Source organism: Homo sapiens, chromosome 4 (assembly GCF_000001405.40).
Source record: "Homo sapiens chromosome 4, GRCh38.p14 Primary Assembly".
Classification (NCBI taxonomy): domain Eukaryota; kingdom Metazoa; phylum Chordata; class Mammalia; order Primates; family Hominidae; genus Homo; species Homo sapiens.
Window position 1 is genome coordinate 84,696,445 of NC_000004.12, and position 19,466 is coordinate 84,715,910.

Below are 19,466 nucleotides of genomic sequence, written 5' to 3' on the forward strand. Positions count from 1 at the left end.
CTATTTTATTACTATTCTTAATCTCTTACTATGCCTAATATATAAATTAACCTTTATCAGAGCTATATATGTATAGGAAAATACATAGTTTATATATATATATAGGGTTTGGTACTATTCCTGGTTTCAGGCATCAACTGGGGTTCTTGGGATGTATCCCCTGTAGATAAGGGGACCTGGCTGTATTAGTAACAAACAGGTGGTACTCTGGCTAGAGGCCCTGTCTTTGTATTATGTTCAATGACCAAATGAAATTCAACTTCAATTGTAAAATGTACTTCCATTACCTCACGATGGACTCTGATGAATTCTCGTGGGTCCCCTTTTGCCCAGGGTGGAAGGATAACATCTCCAAGCTTGGTGCCATTTTGTTTACAGCCTATGCAATTGGATACATTAAAAATAAAAAAAAAGAAAGAATGGGATAAATGGTAACTTTATATTAATCTGACTGAGAAATGGTGGGTTAGATTCAATACCAGAACGCTAAAATTGTACACCAGAAAGGACTTCAGAGATTATCAACTCTAGCATCCCTCAAGACTGCTCCTCAGATCACTCCAGCAGAAAGAGTTACTAAGTCAGCAAAACTGAGGCCCTCACTGCCAATGTCTTCAGGAAATGCTGAGTTATACCAAGCGAAACATGCTTCTTTCTGCAGAGTCTTGAGCGCAGGACTCCTCGGAGGTTTAATATGCTAACATGCACTGCCCTTCTCTAAGAGGGATATCAAACACAAAATGTCTGAAATTTAATTGACCACAAGACTCCTTTTCAGCAAAACATTTTGCAGGGTTACTGTCTTGAATCTCCTGGACACAGTCTACTGTAGATATCTGTAATACAAGAGGTTTCTCATATCGCTGACTCTTAGGTTCTCAAAAGAGCTCTGTAGAACTGGCATGTATTTTGCAGTAAGCATTCTCATTTAAAAAGCAAAATCTGAAATGACGTAACTTTTTGCTGTTATTGCATCATTTAACAGAAAAAATATTTGGAAAAACTATAGGGCTACCTGTCAAAAACAAAAAATAACATGTTGTGATAAAGCACATAAATAATATTTATTCCATATAAACTTATTTTAAGTGATAGCCAAGATAATTTCTAAAATATAAAAGAAACCATTCACTGTGAAATCTATCCACATCAAAATATATTAAATTTGGCTGCATCTAAACAAAAAGGGTGTTTTTCTTCTTTTTGAAATATACCAAAAAAGTCACTTTAGCTTACAGAGTTTTTATAGATACAAATCAGATTATCATTGTAAAAATGACTCTACAAACAACAATGTTGACTCACTAGTTTAATAGCAGTTGGTTAGATAAATACTTGTTCTGGAAATTTTCATACAGAAATGCAGTTGTTCAAATTTTAGAACACAAAGCCAATTCCAAGTGGAAGCGAATAAAATATCTCCCTTAGATACAATCTTGCCTTTATCATTGCTAGTCGATGGTTTATTTACAATGTGATATCGAGTGGTACAAATATCAGTTTGTTGTTTAAAGGAATGTCTTGACTTGGTTGGAAAGGTTACCATATGATTTACAACAAAAATAAATCAAGTTATTACAACCCTTCCTCCTCAACCACACACACTGCACGCTGTCTGTTGAATCTCCCTGAAATGCCCACTAGGTCTAATTTTTTGGTAATAATAAACAGGTAAAAAGGCTACTTGAGATAGAAATTACTTTTCCAAATTTTGCTACAATCCTTGAATACTTATTTGATAGAATTTTATTTTATGAACACTATATGCAATTTTAAAATGACATATAAAGATAACATAGTCTGCAGGAAAGCCTTTGTCTAATTCTATATAATATATATATATATATTTTTTTTTTTTGAGACAGGGTCTTGCTCTGCTGTCCAGCCTGGAGTGCAGTGGTATAATCATGGCTCACTTCAGCCTTGAGCTCCTGGCCTCAAGTGATCCTTCCACCTCAGCCTCCCACGTACAGGCACGTGCCACCATGCCTGGCTAATTATTTTATTTTGAAGGGACGAGGTTTTGCTCTGTTGCTCAGGCTAATCTTGAACTCCTGGCCTCAAGTGATGCTCCTACCTTGGCCTCCCAAAGTGCTTGAATTATAGGCAAGAGCCAGTGCTCCGCCCTTAATTTTGCTATTCTGAAGCTCTCCTCCATGTGTATCCAAGGATGCATGGACAAGAAGACCCCAGGGTGAATATTACTTATCTCATAGCAAGGGGAAAAAAAAATCCAAGTGCTTTTTCTTTCTTTCTTTTTTTCTTTTGAGACAGAGTCTTGCTCTGTTGCCCAGGCTGGAGTGCAGTGGCATGATCTTGGCTCACTGCAACATCTGCCTCCCGGGTGAGTCTTGTGCCTCAGCCTTCTGAGGAGCTGGGATTACAGGCACACACCACGATGCCCAGCTAATTTTTGTATTTTTAGTGGAGATGAGTTTTCACCATGTTAGCCAGGCTGGTCTCGAATTCTTGGCCTCAAGCAATCTGCCCACCTCAGCTTCCCAAAGTCCTGGAACTACAGGCGTGAGCCACTGCGACCAGCCCCAAGTGTGTTTTCTTTTACACCATTTACTATTTTTTCTGTGTGAAGAGGCAAACTGTTTTTTTTTTTTTCTATTGGGGTGAAATTCACATAAAGCCAGCCATTTAAAGGGAACAATGCAGTGGCATTTAGTTCAGACACAATGTTACGCAACCACGATTTCTATCTAGTCCCAAAGCATTTTTATCACCACCAAAGTAATCTTGTACCTGTTAATCAGTAGCTGCCCGTATTACCTTCAACCCAGCCCCAGAACACCAATCTGTGTCCTGTCTCTGTGGACTTACCTATTCTGAGTATTTCCTATAAATGGAAATGTACAATATGTGACTGTTTTTGTCTGGCTTCTTTCACTTTGCGTAATGTTTTTGAGGTTCAATCACATTGTAGAGTTTATTAGTGCCTCATTCACTTTCATGGATGAATAATATTTCACTGTATGTATATGCTACAACTGGTTTATCCACTCATCACTTGATAGACATCTGGGCTGTTTCTGCCATTCGGTTATTGTGAATAATGCTACTATGAACATGCTCACACACATACTTACTTGAGTTGCGTTTTCAATTCTATATACCAAGGAGTGGAACTGCTGGGTCATATGGTAATTCTGTTTAACTTTTTGAGGAACTGCCAAACTACTTCCCACAGTGGCTAAACCATTTTATGCTCCCACCAGCAATGTATGAGGGTTCTAATTTTTCTATACCTTTGCCAGCCCTTGTTGTTTTTCAGTTCCCCCCACCCCATTATGGTCATCCTAGTAAATATGAAGTGGTATCTCATTGTGGTTTTGATTTGCATTCCCCTAATGACTAATGATGTTCAGCATCTTTTCATGAGTTTACTGGCCATCTGTATAACTTATTTGGGAAATTGTCTATTCAAGCCCTTTGCCCATTTTCCAACTGGGTTGTTTGTCTTTTTGTTGTTGAGTTATAAAAGTTGTTTATATTCTGGATACTAGATCCTTATTAGATATATTATTTGCAAATATTTTCTTCCATTCTATAGGCATCTTTTCATTTTCTTGGTAACATTCTTGGATGCAGAAACTTCTAATTTTGATTAAATCCAATTTATCTTTTGTTGTTGTTGCTTGTAATTTTGATATCATATTTAAGAATATATTGCCAAATTCAAGATCATGAAGATTTACCCCTATGTTTTCTCATAAGAGTCGTATGATTTTAGGTTTTATATACAAACAGTGTTTTGTCTTGTTTTGTTTTGGAGACAAGGTGTCACTTTATCACCCAGGTTGGAGTGCAGTGGCACGAACACGGCTCACTGCAGCCTCAACTCCTGGGGTAAAGTGATCCTCCCACCTCAGCCTCCTGAGTAGCTGGGACTACAGGTGCACATCACCACGCCCAGCTAATTTTTGTATTTTTTGTAGAGATGAGGTTTTGCCATGTTGCCCAGGTTGGTCTTGAACACCTGAGCTCAAGTGATCCACCTGCCTTGGCCTCCCAAAGTGCTGGGATTACAGGTGTGAGCCACCATGCCTGGCCCAACCACTGTTTTTTAAAGTATGCTATTTCAAGGAGGGAAGATAATTTGTTATGAGGGTGAACATGATAAAGATACATCCTCCTTTTTTTATTTACTTATTTTAAAAGTAGATTGGTTAGTTGGGTTTGTAAGTGGTCGGTCTGGAACACCTTTGCAACATGGATTATCATAAGTGATAGATGTTTCTGGAAGATTATGAGCTATCTCTTTCTTTCTGCACCTCTCCATATTTGTCTCTTTGACAGTGGTATCCCTGGGGAAGAAGGCAACGTTCTCCAAAGTTGAATTATAAGTGAACATAAGAAAACACTAATGTGGCTGTGCGTGGTGGCTCACGCCTGTAACCACTGAGACGGGCAGATCACTTGGCTGAGACGGGCAGATGACTTGAGGTCAGGAGTTCCAGACCAGCCTAGGCAACATGGGGAAACCCCGTCTCTACTAAAAATTTGAAAAAGAATTAGCCAGGTGTGGTGGCGCATGTAATCCCAGCTACTTGGGAGGCTGCAGCACGAGAATTGCTTGAACCTGTAAGGCGGAGGTTGCGATGAACAGAGATCATGCCACTGCACTCCAGCTTGGGCGACAGTGCAAGACTCTGTCTCAATAAAAGAAAATGTTAATGTGCATTCACAGTCAAAGGCTATAGCAGGTATTTGTTGATTGTTCTCGTTGACTATTCTATTCTTTTGGGAAAACCCATCACTTTCTCTAATTCTAAGTCCTAAAGTTGTGTCTTTAGCTGCTCAAGGGTGAGCTCTAGGCATAATTACAGGTAATGAAAATCAATTTCAGACTTTTCCTGGGGCTCTGGAGACAGCCTTGTTATCTTTCCCATTTCACAAAGGTAGAGTTGCTGATGGACAATTAAATACATAAAAATTATCTTTAGAAAACTTCAAATAGAAATATCTTTCATATGTATAGGATACAAACACTTCCCTGTATTTTCTGTTCATGAAAATTTGGAGGTAGTACAGTTATAATTTATGTGCTAACTCTTACAAAACAGTAGAAAATACAAGGAATGAAAAAAATATAAAACAACAAATATCTGGCAGGAATATTCTCACATGGAAACAATGGAATTTTGATATGCTTTAAAAGAAATACTCAGAAGCATAGATCAGCAAACTGTGTTCCAAGAAACTGTAACCAAAGTCAAATCCACTTCCTCTAACAGCCAGATAATATAAAAACAGCACTGATGGAGTTTTTCTTGTTTTTATAAATGCTGATTTGGTCCTGTTTTTCTAGAAAATAGAGTCCTTACAGGATAAAGAAAAGGGGTTTACTTAAAGTTATTCTGAAGTTCTAATTTTAAAACACATTAGCCTATGAACTGAGAATGTATTAGGCAATAAACAAGATTAAAACAATACATGGAAAATTTGGATGTACCACTCTTAGCTATTAATGGGTTTCAATAGTAATACTTTTCAATAAATTTTCACCTCTGTTTTCATCAAAACAACGAAATTCTAAATGTTGGGAGTAATCTGTCTCAATATTTATTTATTTAGAGACGGAGTCTCGCTCTGTTGCCCAGGCTGGCGTGCAGTTCACGATCTCAGCTCACTGCAACCTCCACCTCCCAGGTTCAAGCAATTTTCCTGCCTCAGCCTCCTAAGTAGCTGGGATTACAGGTGCCCACCACCACGTCTGGCTAATTTTTGTAACGACAAAAATCACATGTAACCACACCCAATTACAGCAAATGACTGCAAGAAACTGTATCAAATTTTTTTCTTGTTAATGTGTGCTGCAGACAATCTTCAGAGAAGTGACTTATTTCTATTGGACTTTTCCTGGCTAACATTCCTAAGACAGTGCCATAGCTCTACGTACCTAGATCAAAGTTGTTGGAATTGAACAGGAATTCTGGTAAATAAAAGAACTCTGGGATAAGTTCTTTTACATCTGCCATATTGTGCTTTGACGCTGAATACCAGGCCTCGCGCACACTGTGAAACATCCGGTCAGCCAGGTCAAAGTGGCCACCCTGTGGGCAGAATAAGACACCTCTCTATTAGAGAACCGTTCCCACCTGACAGCTTCTGTCAAGTTCAAGAGCTTGAAAACTCCAACTATAGTTGGTGACATTTCAATTTCCCATTATCCTACATTAAATACGCACAAATTTTTAATAAACATAAAACATCTAATTCTCTTTGGGGTAATCCTTACAGAGGGTTCTCTCTGCATTTGTTTTTATAATCAAACTGAAATCCAAATGTAAAGATTTTAAAAAGTCATCCAAAAAATAGTAGATTTTAAAGAGAGGACAAGGCTGTAAGAAATATGAGTTCTGGCCGGGCGCGGCGGCTCACGCCTGTAATCCCAGCACTTTCGGAGGCCGAGGCGGGCGGATCACGAGGTCAGGAGATCGAGACCATCCTGGCTAACACGGTGAAACCCCGTCTCTACTAAAAATACAAAAAATTAGCCTGGCGAGGTGGCGGGCGCCTGTAGTCCCAGCTACTTGGGAGGCTGAGGCAGGAGAATGGCATGAACCCCAGGGGGCGGAGCCTGCAGTGAGCCGAGATCGTGCCACTGCACTCCAGCCTGGGGGATAGCGAGACTCTGTCTCAAAAAAAAAAAAAACCAAACAAACAAGAAATATGAGTTCTTCCATAGTTTGATGATGCCATCACAAGAAAAGATTCTAATGTAAATCATCTACAGTTGGAAACATTCAAATTATGTTTGGCTAATTTTATAAATTAACATGATATGCAAGTTCTCATACTAATGAAAATTAAATGGAGAATTAGAAAAGGTGATCAGTTACAGACCGATGAAGCAAATTAAAATAGAAAAGGGATATTTTTCACTACGCAGCCTCACAGGTACACTATCCATCTTCTTCAGTCAAGCCCCCTATGCTGCTGTGTTTTAAGTTAACATGGTGTACCTGTCTTACGATGCTCACTGTGGGAAAATGCCAAAGTCCATGCCATGGCTGCCAATGTCTGCCATACAATCTAGCCTGTTTCCTTGTCGAACTCTTCCCCTACAACTAACTTTCCTCCTTACTTACTCTATTCTGGACACACTGGCCCCCGGGCTGCTCCTCGAACATGCCAGGTACAAGCCTGCCTTAGAGCCCTTGCACAAGCTCTTCCCTCTGCCTGGAACACGTATCTCCAGATGTCTGCAGAAGCAACACCCTTACCTCCTTTAGACTTTTTTTCACAGGAGACCTACTCTGACCACTCTACTTAAAACTGCATCCCACCTTGCCCAACCTCCTGTTCTCCCCACTTCCCATCCCCCTTTCTGGACCTATATCTTTCTGATAGCTTTTATCACATTCTGAAACACCTTACAATTTTCTTATTTTTGATTTCTGGCTGTCTCCTTCAACTGAATTACATAAACTGCACAGGTAAGGCTTTTCTCTTTATTAATTGAAGTCCTCCCAAGTACCTGGAACAGTGCCTGGCACACAGTAGGTATTTATTAAATATTTGCTGAATAAATGAATGAGAATGTACAGAAAAGCAATTATAATCGAGGAAACAGAGAATGAGCTGGAATATATCATGTTTTTGTAAAATAAAAATTGTTTAATTCAACCAGTTAGGGCTGGTTGAAAAATGTATGCTACTTATGTATTTGATTAAAGGATGCTGGCACTTATTTGTTCTAAGCGAATTCTAGTTCATTAATCAATTTTGGTCCAACAAAATTCTACTTTAGTTATGTAACTACTTTGTCACTAAAATTTCGCAGAGCTTCTTATAATAGAAGATAATGATGTTTTAAAAGGTGACATTTTAGATAGAAGTAGGCTTGTATAAAATAGAAAAACCCCAAATTTAAAGTTTTACCTGTAGCCTTAAGAATATCTGTGTGAAAGGCTCCATCCTTACAAGGTATGAGGCCACAATCATTGCAGATGAATAGTGGGTCCCATAGTGGTATGCAGGAGTTTCTCCTGTTTAAGAAAATTAAAGCACAATTGAAACCAAAAGAAGAAATATGAAAAATAAAATTGGTATTAATTTATGCTTGAAAATGCTAGCCTATGTGATAACTGTAACACTAAATGCAATTAGTACTGGCATTTGCAGCAGGAAAACTTCAGGACACCACTACCCCTCTCTTCTATATTTGACAGTAGTCCAGATTAAGTATAATTCAATGGCCTATTCCCACAAACTTAGTATGTCTACCAATTTCATGTTTTGAGGCTTACTATAATAGTTAACCCTTAATAGTAGACCATCTTCCACTAAAGCAGGATATTGACTTATAGTTTTTATTAGGTTCTGGCTTTGCAATTATATATTTCTCTAAATCATTGTTTATGAATGTTAAGCACTTTTATGTATTTTTACTACATATTCTCCTTGGCAGAGAGGGGGTGGGAAAAAAGAGTTCACATAGGACTACAAGCTTAGGCTTTCTTTCTCCTTTGTTTTGCCTTTTTGAGGGAGAAACACCATAAACATTAAACATAATAAATAACAAGTAAACTATAAGGTTTTAGAGTATAGTAATTTTTTTTAAATGCAAAAGGGTTCCAAAATTGCCTCAATAAAATTAAAGAGAGACAATAAATTAAAGTATGGTTCCTGGACTAAACATGATTAGAGACAGAGGCAGATTATGATGGGAAATTTCTGCCCTATGCAAAGCAGGAATACTTAGTTTTCCACCAATACTCTGATAAGCTATTTAAAATGCCTTCTAAGCATGGCCATAAGTTGGCATGCAAACCTGATTCCTCTGCTATAATAATCTGCATATATGTGTGGACATATAATACATATAGATATGATATATAAGCAATTTGAAGGAGGATGTAGGAATGTCAGACCGCTACATAATGACTTACTTTTGAAACTTGGGTACAAAGTCCAATGACAGAAAAAGTTCCTTACCATTAGGATCCTCCCAGTCTTTATACCGCTTCTTATACTGAGCTAATCGTTCATCTGTTTGTGCTCCCATTGGCTTAGCCAGGTTTCTAAACGTCTTGGGATTAGTAAGATCCACCTCCTAAAATACAAAATGTAACTCAATTCCAAGTTACTATACACTATCTAGCCTCACTAACGTAGATACAGTGGCTGTTGTGGATGATGATGATTTATAAACGCACTAGTATCTGTGGGGTCAAACTGGTATAACTGGACTCCAAAATAATGCTATATATGTACTGTTTATACACACTTTACAGACAGGCACATGGGAGTTGGTTAACAGATTCAGTTGGAAGACAAGTGCTTTGGAAATTATATGTTTCACAGAGGAAGCCACTCAGGATCCAGGTTTAGGGGATGAGGATTAAGAGGGAAAATACTTCCAAGTCTTGACAAGGACCCAGCAGGAGACTGTGGACACAATAGCTCCAATTCATCGTTAACTTCATCACTCACATAACTGGAGGATCAGATCTCCCTTGTGTCCTCCCTCCCTCCACCCCCGCCCTGTCTCCCTCCAACGTTACTTCTGAGCATTTTCTTCTCAGAGGTGATCTGGAAGTGATAAAAACTAGAACACTCAGTAATTCTTTCACCTCTAAAAGATAACATCACACCAGATCAAGTAACTTCCCAATGAGATGGATTCTTCTAGTTTACCAGAGATCACTTTAAAAGTTGATGAGTTGACCTAATTCATATATTTAAAAGGAAACTAAAATTTACTCCCTGAGGATTTTAAAAGTGGAAATTTGAAATATGTGCCTGTGGCATATTTGTGTCCTTTTTATAGGACATCCTGAATAACTAATTTTGCCAAACTTTTATTTTTAAAAATCTTGGGCAGGAGAAACTGATCTACATTTATGAATGTAAGTCAAGTTAGCATATTTGTTATCTCAAAGTTTATATGTAAAGTACCTTGTTTATATTTTCTGGTTAATTCAACAAATGTTAAAGTATGTACAAAGTACCAGGTGTCATCCTATGGGCTGAGAGTTGAGAGAGACATAAAATGGACTATGTGCTCAAGGACCTTGACCCTACGATTGAGTAGGGTCAAACAAATAGCAGGACAATGCTGTAAAAGAAAGCTCCCTGATTAAAATGGTGAAAAAAAAAAAAAAAACCCAACATAGGTACCATGTTATACAGCTATAGGGCAGTGTGGGAATAGAAGGCAGAGGAGAAAAAGAACAGAAGGGTCCCCATCACCGGGCTGGTACTTGAGTGCCTCCTGAAGGATGAAGTGGAGCTGGTCAGTTGAGTTAGTTGGTGGAGAGAAGAAATGCACGATGGGCACCAGGCAGGTCAGGCTGTATGTGAAAAGCCACTAAATTACAAGAGAGGGAACTGGGGTGCCCCACGATAGCAGTTCTGGGAGTATATGAGGAATATATACACAGGAGCTGCACTGAAAAGGTTGCTATAGTGAGGTTTTTCAACTCTCTCCCAAATTATGATGGTGATTCACTGAATAATTTTATTATTTATTTTTACTTCTTTTTTTTTTTTTTTTTTGAGACAGCTTCTTGCTCTGTCGCCCAGGCTGGAGTGCAGTGGCACACTCTCAGCTCACAGCAATCTCCACCTCACCAGCTCAAGTGATCCTCCCATTTCAGCCTCCTGAGTGGCTGGGACTACAGATGCATGCCACCATGCCTGGCTAATTTTTTGTAGAGATGGGGTTTGCCATGTTGACCAGGCTGGTCTTGAACTCCTGGACTCATGCGATTTGCCCTCCTCGGCCTCCCAAAGTTCTGGGGTTACAGGTGTGAGCCACAGCACCTGGTCACTGAATGATTTTAAACAGGGGGATGACTCAATTAGTGTTCCTGAAACTGGCTGCAGTGTAGAGGGCACACTGAAGGAAGGAGAGACTAGAGCATTAAGCCCAGTTAGGAGACTGCTGCAATGGTCCAATAAAGATGAGGAGGGCCTGAAATGAGACACTGGGTACACTGATGGAGACAAAGGTAGACATGCCTTGGCCACTGAGCAGACATGGACAGTAGGAAAAGTATAATTTCCAGCCTGTAAGACAGCATGGATGATGGTGCCATTTCCTGAGATGGGGAATACACGGTGAAGGTCAGAATTGCATCGGGAGAATGTGGTAGAGAACTGAAGGTTCAGTAATGGGACCTGCCATGTTCCTATGAGATACATATTCAAATATGAGTTGACAAAGTACTCCACTCCCTTCTCAGAAAACCACATTTCTTTTGGACTTCCTGTCTCTTTAAAAAATCTACATTTTCTTTCTAACTTTCCTTGATTGACTTAAAGAAAAAATATTTTCATTTATCAATCTTTACTCCTGAGCTCTTCTTTTCCTTTTATTATTTATTTATTGTGCATTAGGTATGCAAATTAACTATACAAGCAAATATATAGATTCACACATCAAATGAACTAACGTACACCCATGCATATAGGGTGGATTTCCTTTCATTCTTTCATTAGACCAAAATTTTCTGAGGATAGTTTTATCTTTCCCCTTAATATGTTGATGTCTAAAATTTCTGAAAGGATAAGCAGTCATGATTCTAGTGAATAAGAACGTTCACTGAATTTCTGAATTTTAAAAACAATCTTTTTGTTTGTTTACCTAGGGCTAAGTGTCTTTTGTTTTGCCTGTTATGGTTCATTTCTGAACTAATCAGATGTCTATCAGACAGGAGGCAAAGGAAGAGGGGAATCAAAATATTCATATGCATCTATGTGTTCTTGATTTTGAGACTTAAGTCATGTACATGTTGAATTGTTGGAAATCTTCTACCAAGCCTTCTTGGAATAGTATAAAAAATTTCTTTTATATGGCAGGAACATTTTGTAGAAGAGTTACTTTGTGTTTTCCTAACAAACACTTCAAACTACACAGATGGATTCTGACATCCACCAATAGATGCAAATTAATCCGCACTTAAAGAAACTGAAGAGATATTATGAATTAATAGCCAGTACTCAGTAAGTGGGTCAATTATCCAAACTTTTTATATGTCTGTGCTAAATGCTTCTCATCTATTTGAATTAAGTGCCTTTGCCTATTGAGAACATTAAACTACAAACCAAATAAAACATTTAGGCAACCGTAGTTTTTTTTTTTTTTCTTTGTGGAGACAGAGTCTTGCTTGGTTGGTCACCCAGTCTGGAATGCAGTGGTGCAATCTTGGCTCACTGGAGCCTCCACCTCCTGGGCTAAAGTAATCCTCCCACCTCAGCCTCCTGAGTAGCTGGGACATCTGGGGTCTGGCACCACACCTGGCTAATTTCTGTAATTTTAGTGGAGACAGGGTTTCGCCCTGTTTCTCTGGCTGGTCTCAAAATCCTGGGCTCAAGTGATTCGCCTCTCTTAGCCTCCCAAAGTGCTAGGATTTTAGGGATGAGCCACTGCACCCCACTTCAATTGTCGTATTTTAAAATTATTTTTGAAAATGTGTTCTACGTAAGCAAAATGACTTAAGATTTACCTCTGAGTCATAATCTGCAAGGATCCAGGGGAAGACAGGATACTGCATGAGATCATTATATGATCTGCCAGCCAAAGTGTTCAAATGCATCAAATATTGGAAGTTGCTGATTTCACCTCTCTGGAAAAAGATAAATATTCATTTTTGAGCTATCGATTATTTCCACTATGTTCAGCTTTTAAAATTTTATATACAAAATGATGTAAAGGACAGTTTCTTTTTAACAGATTTCAGAACAATGAAATACTTTTTTTTCTAAAAAGAATGAAAATAAAACATTTTCTCTATGGTATATATTTTATGGATAATTAAAGTGCTTTTAACTGTATGACTTCTACTCTAATTACGAACTTCTAAGGAAGCTCATATATTCATTAAACTTACCTCCCATCTCTGAGTCACAGACTTCTCTCCAACCAAAGTGCTAAGTAACCCAGATCTAAAAGCAATACATAATACAATAAATTACAAGCAATAAAATTTTAAATCTGAAAAATTATAAAGTTGAAAAATTTAAGTCACCTGGTCCAGGAATTTTTCAAACTATGGAGGATCTATTAGTGGGTCATAAAATCAGTTTAGTGGGTTGTGATCAGCATTTTGAAATATGAAGTAACATAGAACTGAACTGAAGAAAACAGAGGACATCAGAAGGCATCACATATAGTAAGAAAAAGTATTGTTTTGTGAATTTTGTTTGAGTTGAGTATTTATAACTCCATTTATGTGCCTTGGGATGAATGTAATATATATTTTTTACTCTAGGTCATATTCAAAAGAGTTGGAAGAACACTGATCTAGTTCAACTTTCTGTTTGTTTTGTTTTGTTCTGTTTTGAGACGGAGTCTCGATCTGTCACCCAGGCTGGATTGCAGTGGCATGGTCTCAGCTCACTGCAGCCTCTACCTCCTGGGTTCTAGTGATTCTCTGGCCTCAGCCTCCTGGGTAGCTGGGATTACATGCACTCGCCACCACGCCCAGCTAATTTTTGTATTTTTAGTAGAGGCATGGTTTACCATGTTGGCCAGGTCTCGACCTCCTGACCTCAGGTGATCCTCCCACCTCGGCCTCCCAAAGTGCTAGGATTACAGGCATAAGCCACAGTGCTTGGCCTTCTTTTTCTTTTTAAAACCATTTTATAATTTATTTTTTGTAGAGATGGGGTCTTGGTATGTTGCCCAGGTTGGTCTCAAGATCCTGGCCTCAAATGATCCTCCTAACTCAGCCTCCCAAATTATTAGGACTTCAGGCATGAGCCATATTCTAACCATAGTCTAACTTTCTAATTTTTACTATAATCACTAAGTAAACAGATCCAAGCATACTTAATTAGAATAACTGAAATATTATATAATATTCTGTACATAGTAGGTACATAATGCATTAAATAAGTGAAAGAAAATATGAATATTGTATAACAGGAAAGTCATTGCTGTCCAGGTCATTTAAAATTTAAACATTACTTTTTTGGGGACAGCAGACTTCCTTAAAATGTTATAAAATCCTATTTAAGGTTTATCAGCTTTATAATATTGATAATTAATAATTGGTCATGGAACCAGGAGAAAGTATTTATATATTTTCTTTTCTGAGAGGAAATTAATACATTTGTAAACCTTAGATCCTAAACACATCCAGCTCGATGGTACTATTTTCCACTTTGAGATAGTCTTTCCATCAGGCAAATTGAATGTACAAGATACTCTCTTTGGAAAAATAGCCATGATCACTCTTCAACATCGTAAGAAAGAGGATAACTGAAATGGAAGATTAAAGTTGGAAATGAATTTCTGTTTCTTGCCTCTGAGCTCTTTAAAGTTCTTTAAGAACTGCCAACTCAGCACAGGCAGTAGCAAGAACAAAGAAATAGCAAGTTTAAGATTATCTAGGAAGCAGTAGCAATTCGCTTACAAGTAGAAAAAAGGCTCATTATGTTTTTAAGGAAATCTTTCACTTCCTGTATTTATGTTAACAACAACACATATGATTAGGAGCAGAACATGTTTCTGGGGTTAAAAAAAGCATATATTTAGCATTGTATTTGTTAAGGCTTGGCTATAGAAAAATAAAAACAAAACTTAAAGAGAAATACACAAAGTATTTAGATGCACACAGACTGGAATCAAATTTATTTACAAATTACAGAATCTCTAGAACTTGTAAAAGTCATTTTCTTGCATGTTCTAATAATTAATTTACAGCCCCAAAGCACTGCTTCTTTCCAGTCGATTATAAAGGGCTACTAGTTACTGAGTGATATAAATGGAACTGGGTCTACAGATTCTTGAAATGGCTGTGTTACCTAGAAGGCCTCGCTAAGATGAAGCACAGCTATAAGGAGCATAAAGGAATCACTGATAGGTCAGAATACATAAAAACAGAAGTTTAAATGTAAATGTCAAAAAGCAAAATTTAGAGGAAAACTGGGAAATCTGCAACAAATATGACAAGCAAAGGAGTAATACCTTATGGTAGAAAAATCCTATACAAATTGATAAGATCTCAAAGGAAAAATAGGCAAAAGATACGGACAATTTACAAAAATGATTTTAAATGGTTAATAAACATATACAGAGCTCATGCTTACTAATAATCAAAGAAATATACATTAAAAATCAGAAAACATTTTATAAAATCAATAAAATAAAAAAATTAATATACAGGCCAGGCGCAGGGGCTCATGCCTGTAATTCCAGCACTTTGGGAGGCCGAGGAGGGCGGATCGCGAGGTCGGGAGTTTGAGAGCAGCCTGGCCAATATGGTGAAACCCCATCACTACTAAAAATACAAAAATTAGCCAGGTGTGGTGGCGCGCACCTGTAGTCCCAGCTACTCGGGAGGCTGAGGCAGAAGAATCGTTTGAACCTGGGACGCGGAGGCTGCAGTGAACTGAGATGGTGCCACTGCACTCCAGCCTGGGCAACAGAGCAAGACTCCGTCTCAAAAAAAAAAAATAATAATAATATACAAAGTTAGCAAGTATCTATTGAGACAAACTTATCCACTAATAGTACAATATAAACTTGTATAGTTTTTATGAATATCAAGCTGGTTTTGTGTATCAAGAGCCTTAAAATTCCTACTCTTTGTTTTATTAAGGGGACTCTACCACAATAAAATAATGAAGAATCATAGCCGGGCATGGTGACTCATGCCTGCAATCCCAGCGCTTTGAGGGGCCAAGATGGGTGGATCACTTGAGGCCAGGAGTTTGAGACCACCCACGCCAACATGGAGAAACCCCTTCTCTACTAAAAATACAACAATTAGACAGGCATGGTAGCACATGCTTGTAATCCCAGCTACTTGGGAGACTGAGGCTTGAATCAGCCTCAGGCTGGGAAGTGCTCAGCCTGATGCTGAGAATCGCTTGAGCCCAGGAGGCAGAGGTTGCAGTGAGCCAAGATCACACCATTGCACTCCAGCCTGGGTGACAGAAGGAAACTGTCTCAAAAGAAAAAAATTAAAAAAAAAAAAAAAAAAAAAAGAAGAATCACATTTCCAGTCTTATGATAAGAAAACCTGATAAATGCCAGGCACAGTGGCTCACGCCTGTAATCCCAGCACTTTGGGAGGCCGAGGTGGACAGATCACCTGAGATCAGTAGTTTGAGACCAGCCTGACCAACGTGGCAAAACCCTGTCTCTACTAAAAATACAAAAATTAGCCAGGTGTGGTGGCAGGCACCTATTATCCCAGCTACTCGGGAGGCTGAGGCAGGAGAATCGCCATGAACCCAGGAGGTTGCAGTGAGCCAAGACGTGCCATTACACTCCAGCCTGGGTGACAGAGCGAGACTCCATCTCTTAACAATAATTAAAAAAAAGCAAAAACCTGATAAAGATGAAATATCCAAAAATTACATGATGTTTTATATATGTGATGAATAGATAGCGAATAATAGTTATGTTTCTGAATAGTTTTTTAAAGATGAGAGGGAATATTTAAATATAACACTGAATAGAAGAAGCAGAATAAAAACTTGTATTTAGAGTATAAACTCAATCATGCACACAGCAATACTCATGCTTTAAAGAACAGAAGGTAATTGATCAAAATGTGAGCAGTGATTTGACACAGTGCTTATGCATACCTTTTTCTTTTCTTCCTTTAGTTTTCAGTATTTTTTTAAAAAAATTTGCAACCACCAGGGGAAAAACACTCATCTAAAATGTTAAATAATACTGTCCAGATATGAATCATCCCAACTTCACTATTAAACTGTAACATGCAAGGAACAAACCACCTACCCCTGCTCCACACTCGTGTTTGGTCGTTGCCCAGATACAGATTCTGAACTGTCCGTTAGAGATGGCACTACAGCCAAAAACCTGAAAAATTTAAAATAGCGTAAAATTACAAGTGAAGTCTCAGTCAGGATCTAATGGGAAGCCTAAGAAAGGACGATTCGTTTAGATTTTCATAGTTGCGTCTACCCTCCCATAACCCACTAAATGGCAGGCAAAAGGAATATATAAATTTTGGACTTCTCTAAAGAGGAAATAATTTCTTAGCACTGAAAACAATAGCACCTTTAGAAATTAAAAAAATCAGATAAGTAAAAGTGAATCTCAATCACTTTACTTAGCTCTTCCCATATGTGAAAGGAGTTTTGGGTTACCAATCAACATCCACAGGCCCTTTATTTGAAGAACCACCCTCATTTCCCAGGTGCTCACGGGTAATATTACTGTACTGCAATGAGAAGCAATGTTGGATGGTTTAGTTATTCCTCATGGAAATAATCTGAAATATAAAATTTTCTATAATGGAGGGATTGCCAGGATCTGTATCACCCTTCAAAGAACAAGAGAATGCCTCTCATCTACATGGTTAGTTCAGAATAGCCTTATTATTCACACATTCAAAAGAATTATCTTTTAAGTACCAGAGATGTGTGTTGTTTTTCCTTTTTTAAAAAATTTATAGGCTGTGTGTGGTGGCTCACGCCTGTAATCTCAACACTTTGGGAGGCCGAGGCGGGCAGATCATGAGGTCAGGAGATCGAGACCATCCTGGCCAACATGGTGAAACTCCATCTCTACTAAAAATACAAAAATTAGCTGGGTGTGGTGGTGCACCTTGATATCCCAGCTAATTGGGAGGCTGAGGCAGGAAAATTGCTTGAACCTGGGAGGTGGAAGTTGCAGTGAGCCGAGATTGCGCCACTGCACTCCAGCCTGGTGACAGAGCAAGACTTTGTCTAAAAAAAAAAAAAATCATTATTATTTTTTGAAACAGTGCCTTGCTCACTCAGGCTAGAGTGCAGTGGTGTGATCGTGGCTTACTACAACCTTGACCTCCTGGGCTTAAGCAATCCTCCCACCTCAACCTGCCATTACAGGCATGTGCCACCATGCCCGGCTAATTATTTTCTTTTTTATAGAGACAGGGTCTCACTATGTTCCCCAGGCTGGTCTTTAACTCCTAGACCAAAGTGATCCTCCCTCCTTGGCCTCACAAAGTGCTAAGAATATGAGCGTGAGCCATTGCACGGCTTGGCCTGTTTTTCACTTAAAAGGTAAATTTTAAATATAGTTTATTAAAGATAAAAATATGCTTAGATTAGATTAACTGCTTTATTTAGCTATACTACTTTTTCAAGGATGAAGGTATCCAACATCCCTTCCATGGCCAGAGAAAAGTCCCACATGAATTAAATTTACTCAGTCCTTGCATTCAATAGCAAGAAACTGCATTGGCTTCATTTTGGTAAATACAAAGAAAGCTTATTTTGAAACTAAAGTTTTATTTTTGGCCGGGCACGGTGGGTGGCTCACGCCTGTAATCCTAGCACTTTGGGAGGCCGAGGTGGGCAGATCACAAGGTCAAGAGATCGAGACCATCCTGGCTAACACGGTGAAACTCCATCTGTACTAAAAATACAAAAAATAAGCCGGGGATGGTGGCGGGTGCCTGCAGTTCCAGCTACTCGGGAGGCTGAGGCAGGAGAATGGCGTGAACCCGGGAGGCGGAGTTTGCAGTGAGCTGAGATCATGCCACTGTACTCTAGCCTGGGCGACAGAACGAGACTCCGTCTCAAAAAAAAAAAAAAAGAAGAAGAAAAAAAGAAACTAAAGTTTTATTTTTAAAGCTACAGTTTCATCATCCTTTGTATTTAGAGACACAGGACTTAGTGATAAAAGTAGTTTTTGATGATCTCTACTATAAGTTACCAGAAGGAAAAATGGTATGTCACAATAGAATTGCACCATTTTAAAAGTCAGAAGAATAATTGTTTCAAGAGGGTGGCAAAAATAATATAAATTATTTTCTTCAAAGATGTTGGCTCATTGATCTAGATTTTTAAAAACCAGCAAAACTGAGAAAAGATTCCCCCTCCCATATCTTCCCATAATAGTATACAAAGTGTTCCGAATAAACAAGACCTTTGATAGACTTTGTTTCTGATTCCTTTCTGAAAAGCAAGGAGGTAATTCCGTCCATCTCCAGAGAAAACTTCCACAGCAATAGGCTGAAATGATCAGAGAGAAAAACATTAAGAAAAAACAGAAGTTCACAAATAAAATTATATATTAACTTTTCCACTATAAATTTCTACAATGTTCAAGAAGTTAATCTGCGGCCGGGCGCGGTGGCTCATGCCTGTAATCCCAGCACTTTGGGAGGCCAAGGCGGGTGGATCACAAGGTCAGGAGATCGAGACCATCCTGGCTAACACAGTGAAACCCCGTCTCTACTAAAAAATACAAAAAATTAGCCGGCCTTGGTGGCGGGTACCTGTAGTCCCAGCTACTCGGGAGGCTGAGGCAGGAGAATGGCATGATCCCAGGAGGCAGGGCTTGCAGTGAGCCAAGATCGCGCCACTGCACTCCAGCCTGGGCAACAGAGCGAGACTCTGTCTCAGAAAAAAAAAAAAAAAAAAAAAAGAAGTTAATTTGCTAACACTTTTAGAGTCATGAATTCCCTGCAGATTAAGCTACACAATAAATAGATATTTCTTATTCTGCTCAATTTATTTCTAAAGTCTTTAGTAACAGA

At 38.6% G+C, this 19,466-nt stretch overlaps 1 protein-coding gene across 27 annotated transcripts in view; it reads right to left on the minus strand.

The window, feature by feature from the left end:
* Nucleotides 1–19,466, minus strand: part of WDFY3 (WD repeat and FYVE domain containing 3) — a 297,094-nt gene that overhangs the window by 26,848 nt on the left and 250,780 nt on the right. For all 27 annotated transcript variants that reach the window (XM_011531759.3, XM_047449858.1, XM_011531763.4 and 24 more), the window contains 8 exons: nucleotides 18,854–18,939; nucleotides 16,715–16,795; nucleotides 12,849–12,903; nucleotides 12,465–12,584; nucleotides 8,950–9,067; nucleotides 7,894–8,000; nucleotides 5,909–6,062; nucleotides 288–379 (listed from right to left, as the gene is read on the minus strand). In XM_011531759.3, coding sequence (XP_011530061.1) covers nucleotides 288–379; nucleotides 5,909–6,062; nucleotides 7,894–8,000; nucleotides 8,950–9,067; nucleotides 12,465–12,584; nucleotides 12,849–12,903; nucleotides 16,715–16,795; nucleotides 18,854–18,939 — 813 coding nt within the window. The remainder of the gene's footprint in view (nucleotides 1–287; nucleotides 380–5,908; nucleotides 6,063–7,893; nucleotides 8,001–8,949; nucleotides 9,068–12,464; nucleotides 12,585–12,848; nucleotides 12,904–16,714; nucleotides 16,796–18,853; nucleotides 18,940–19,466) is intronic.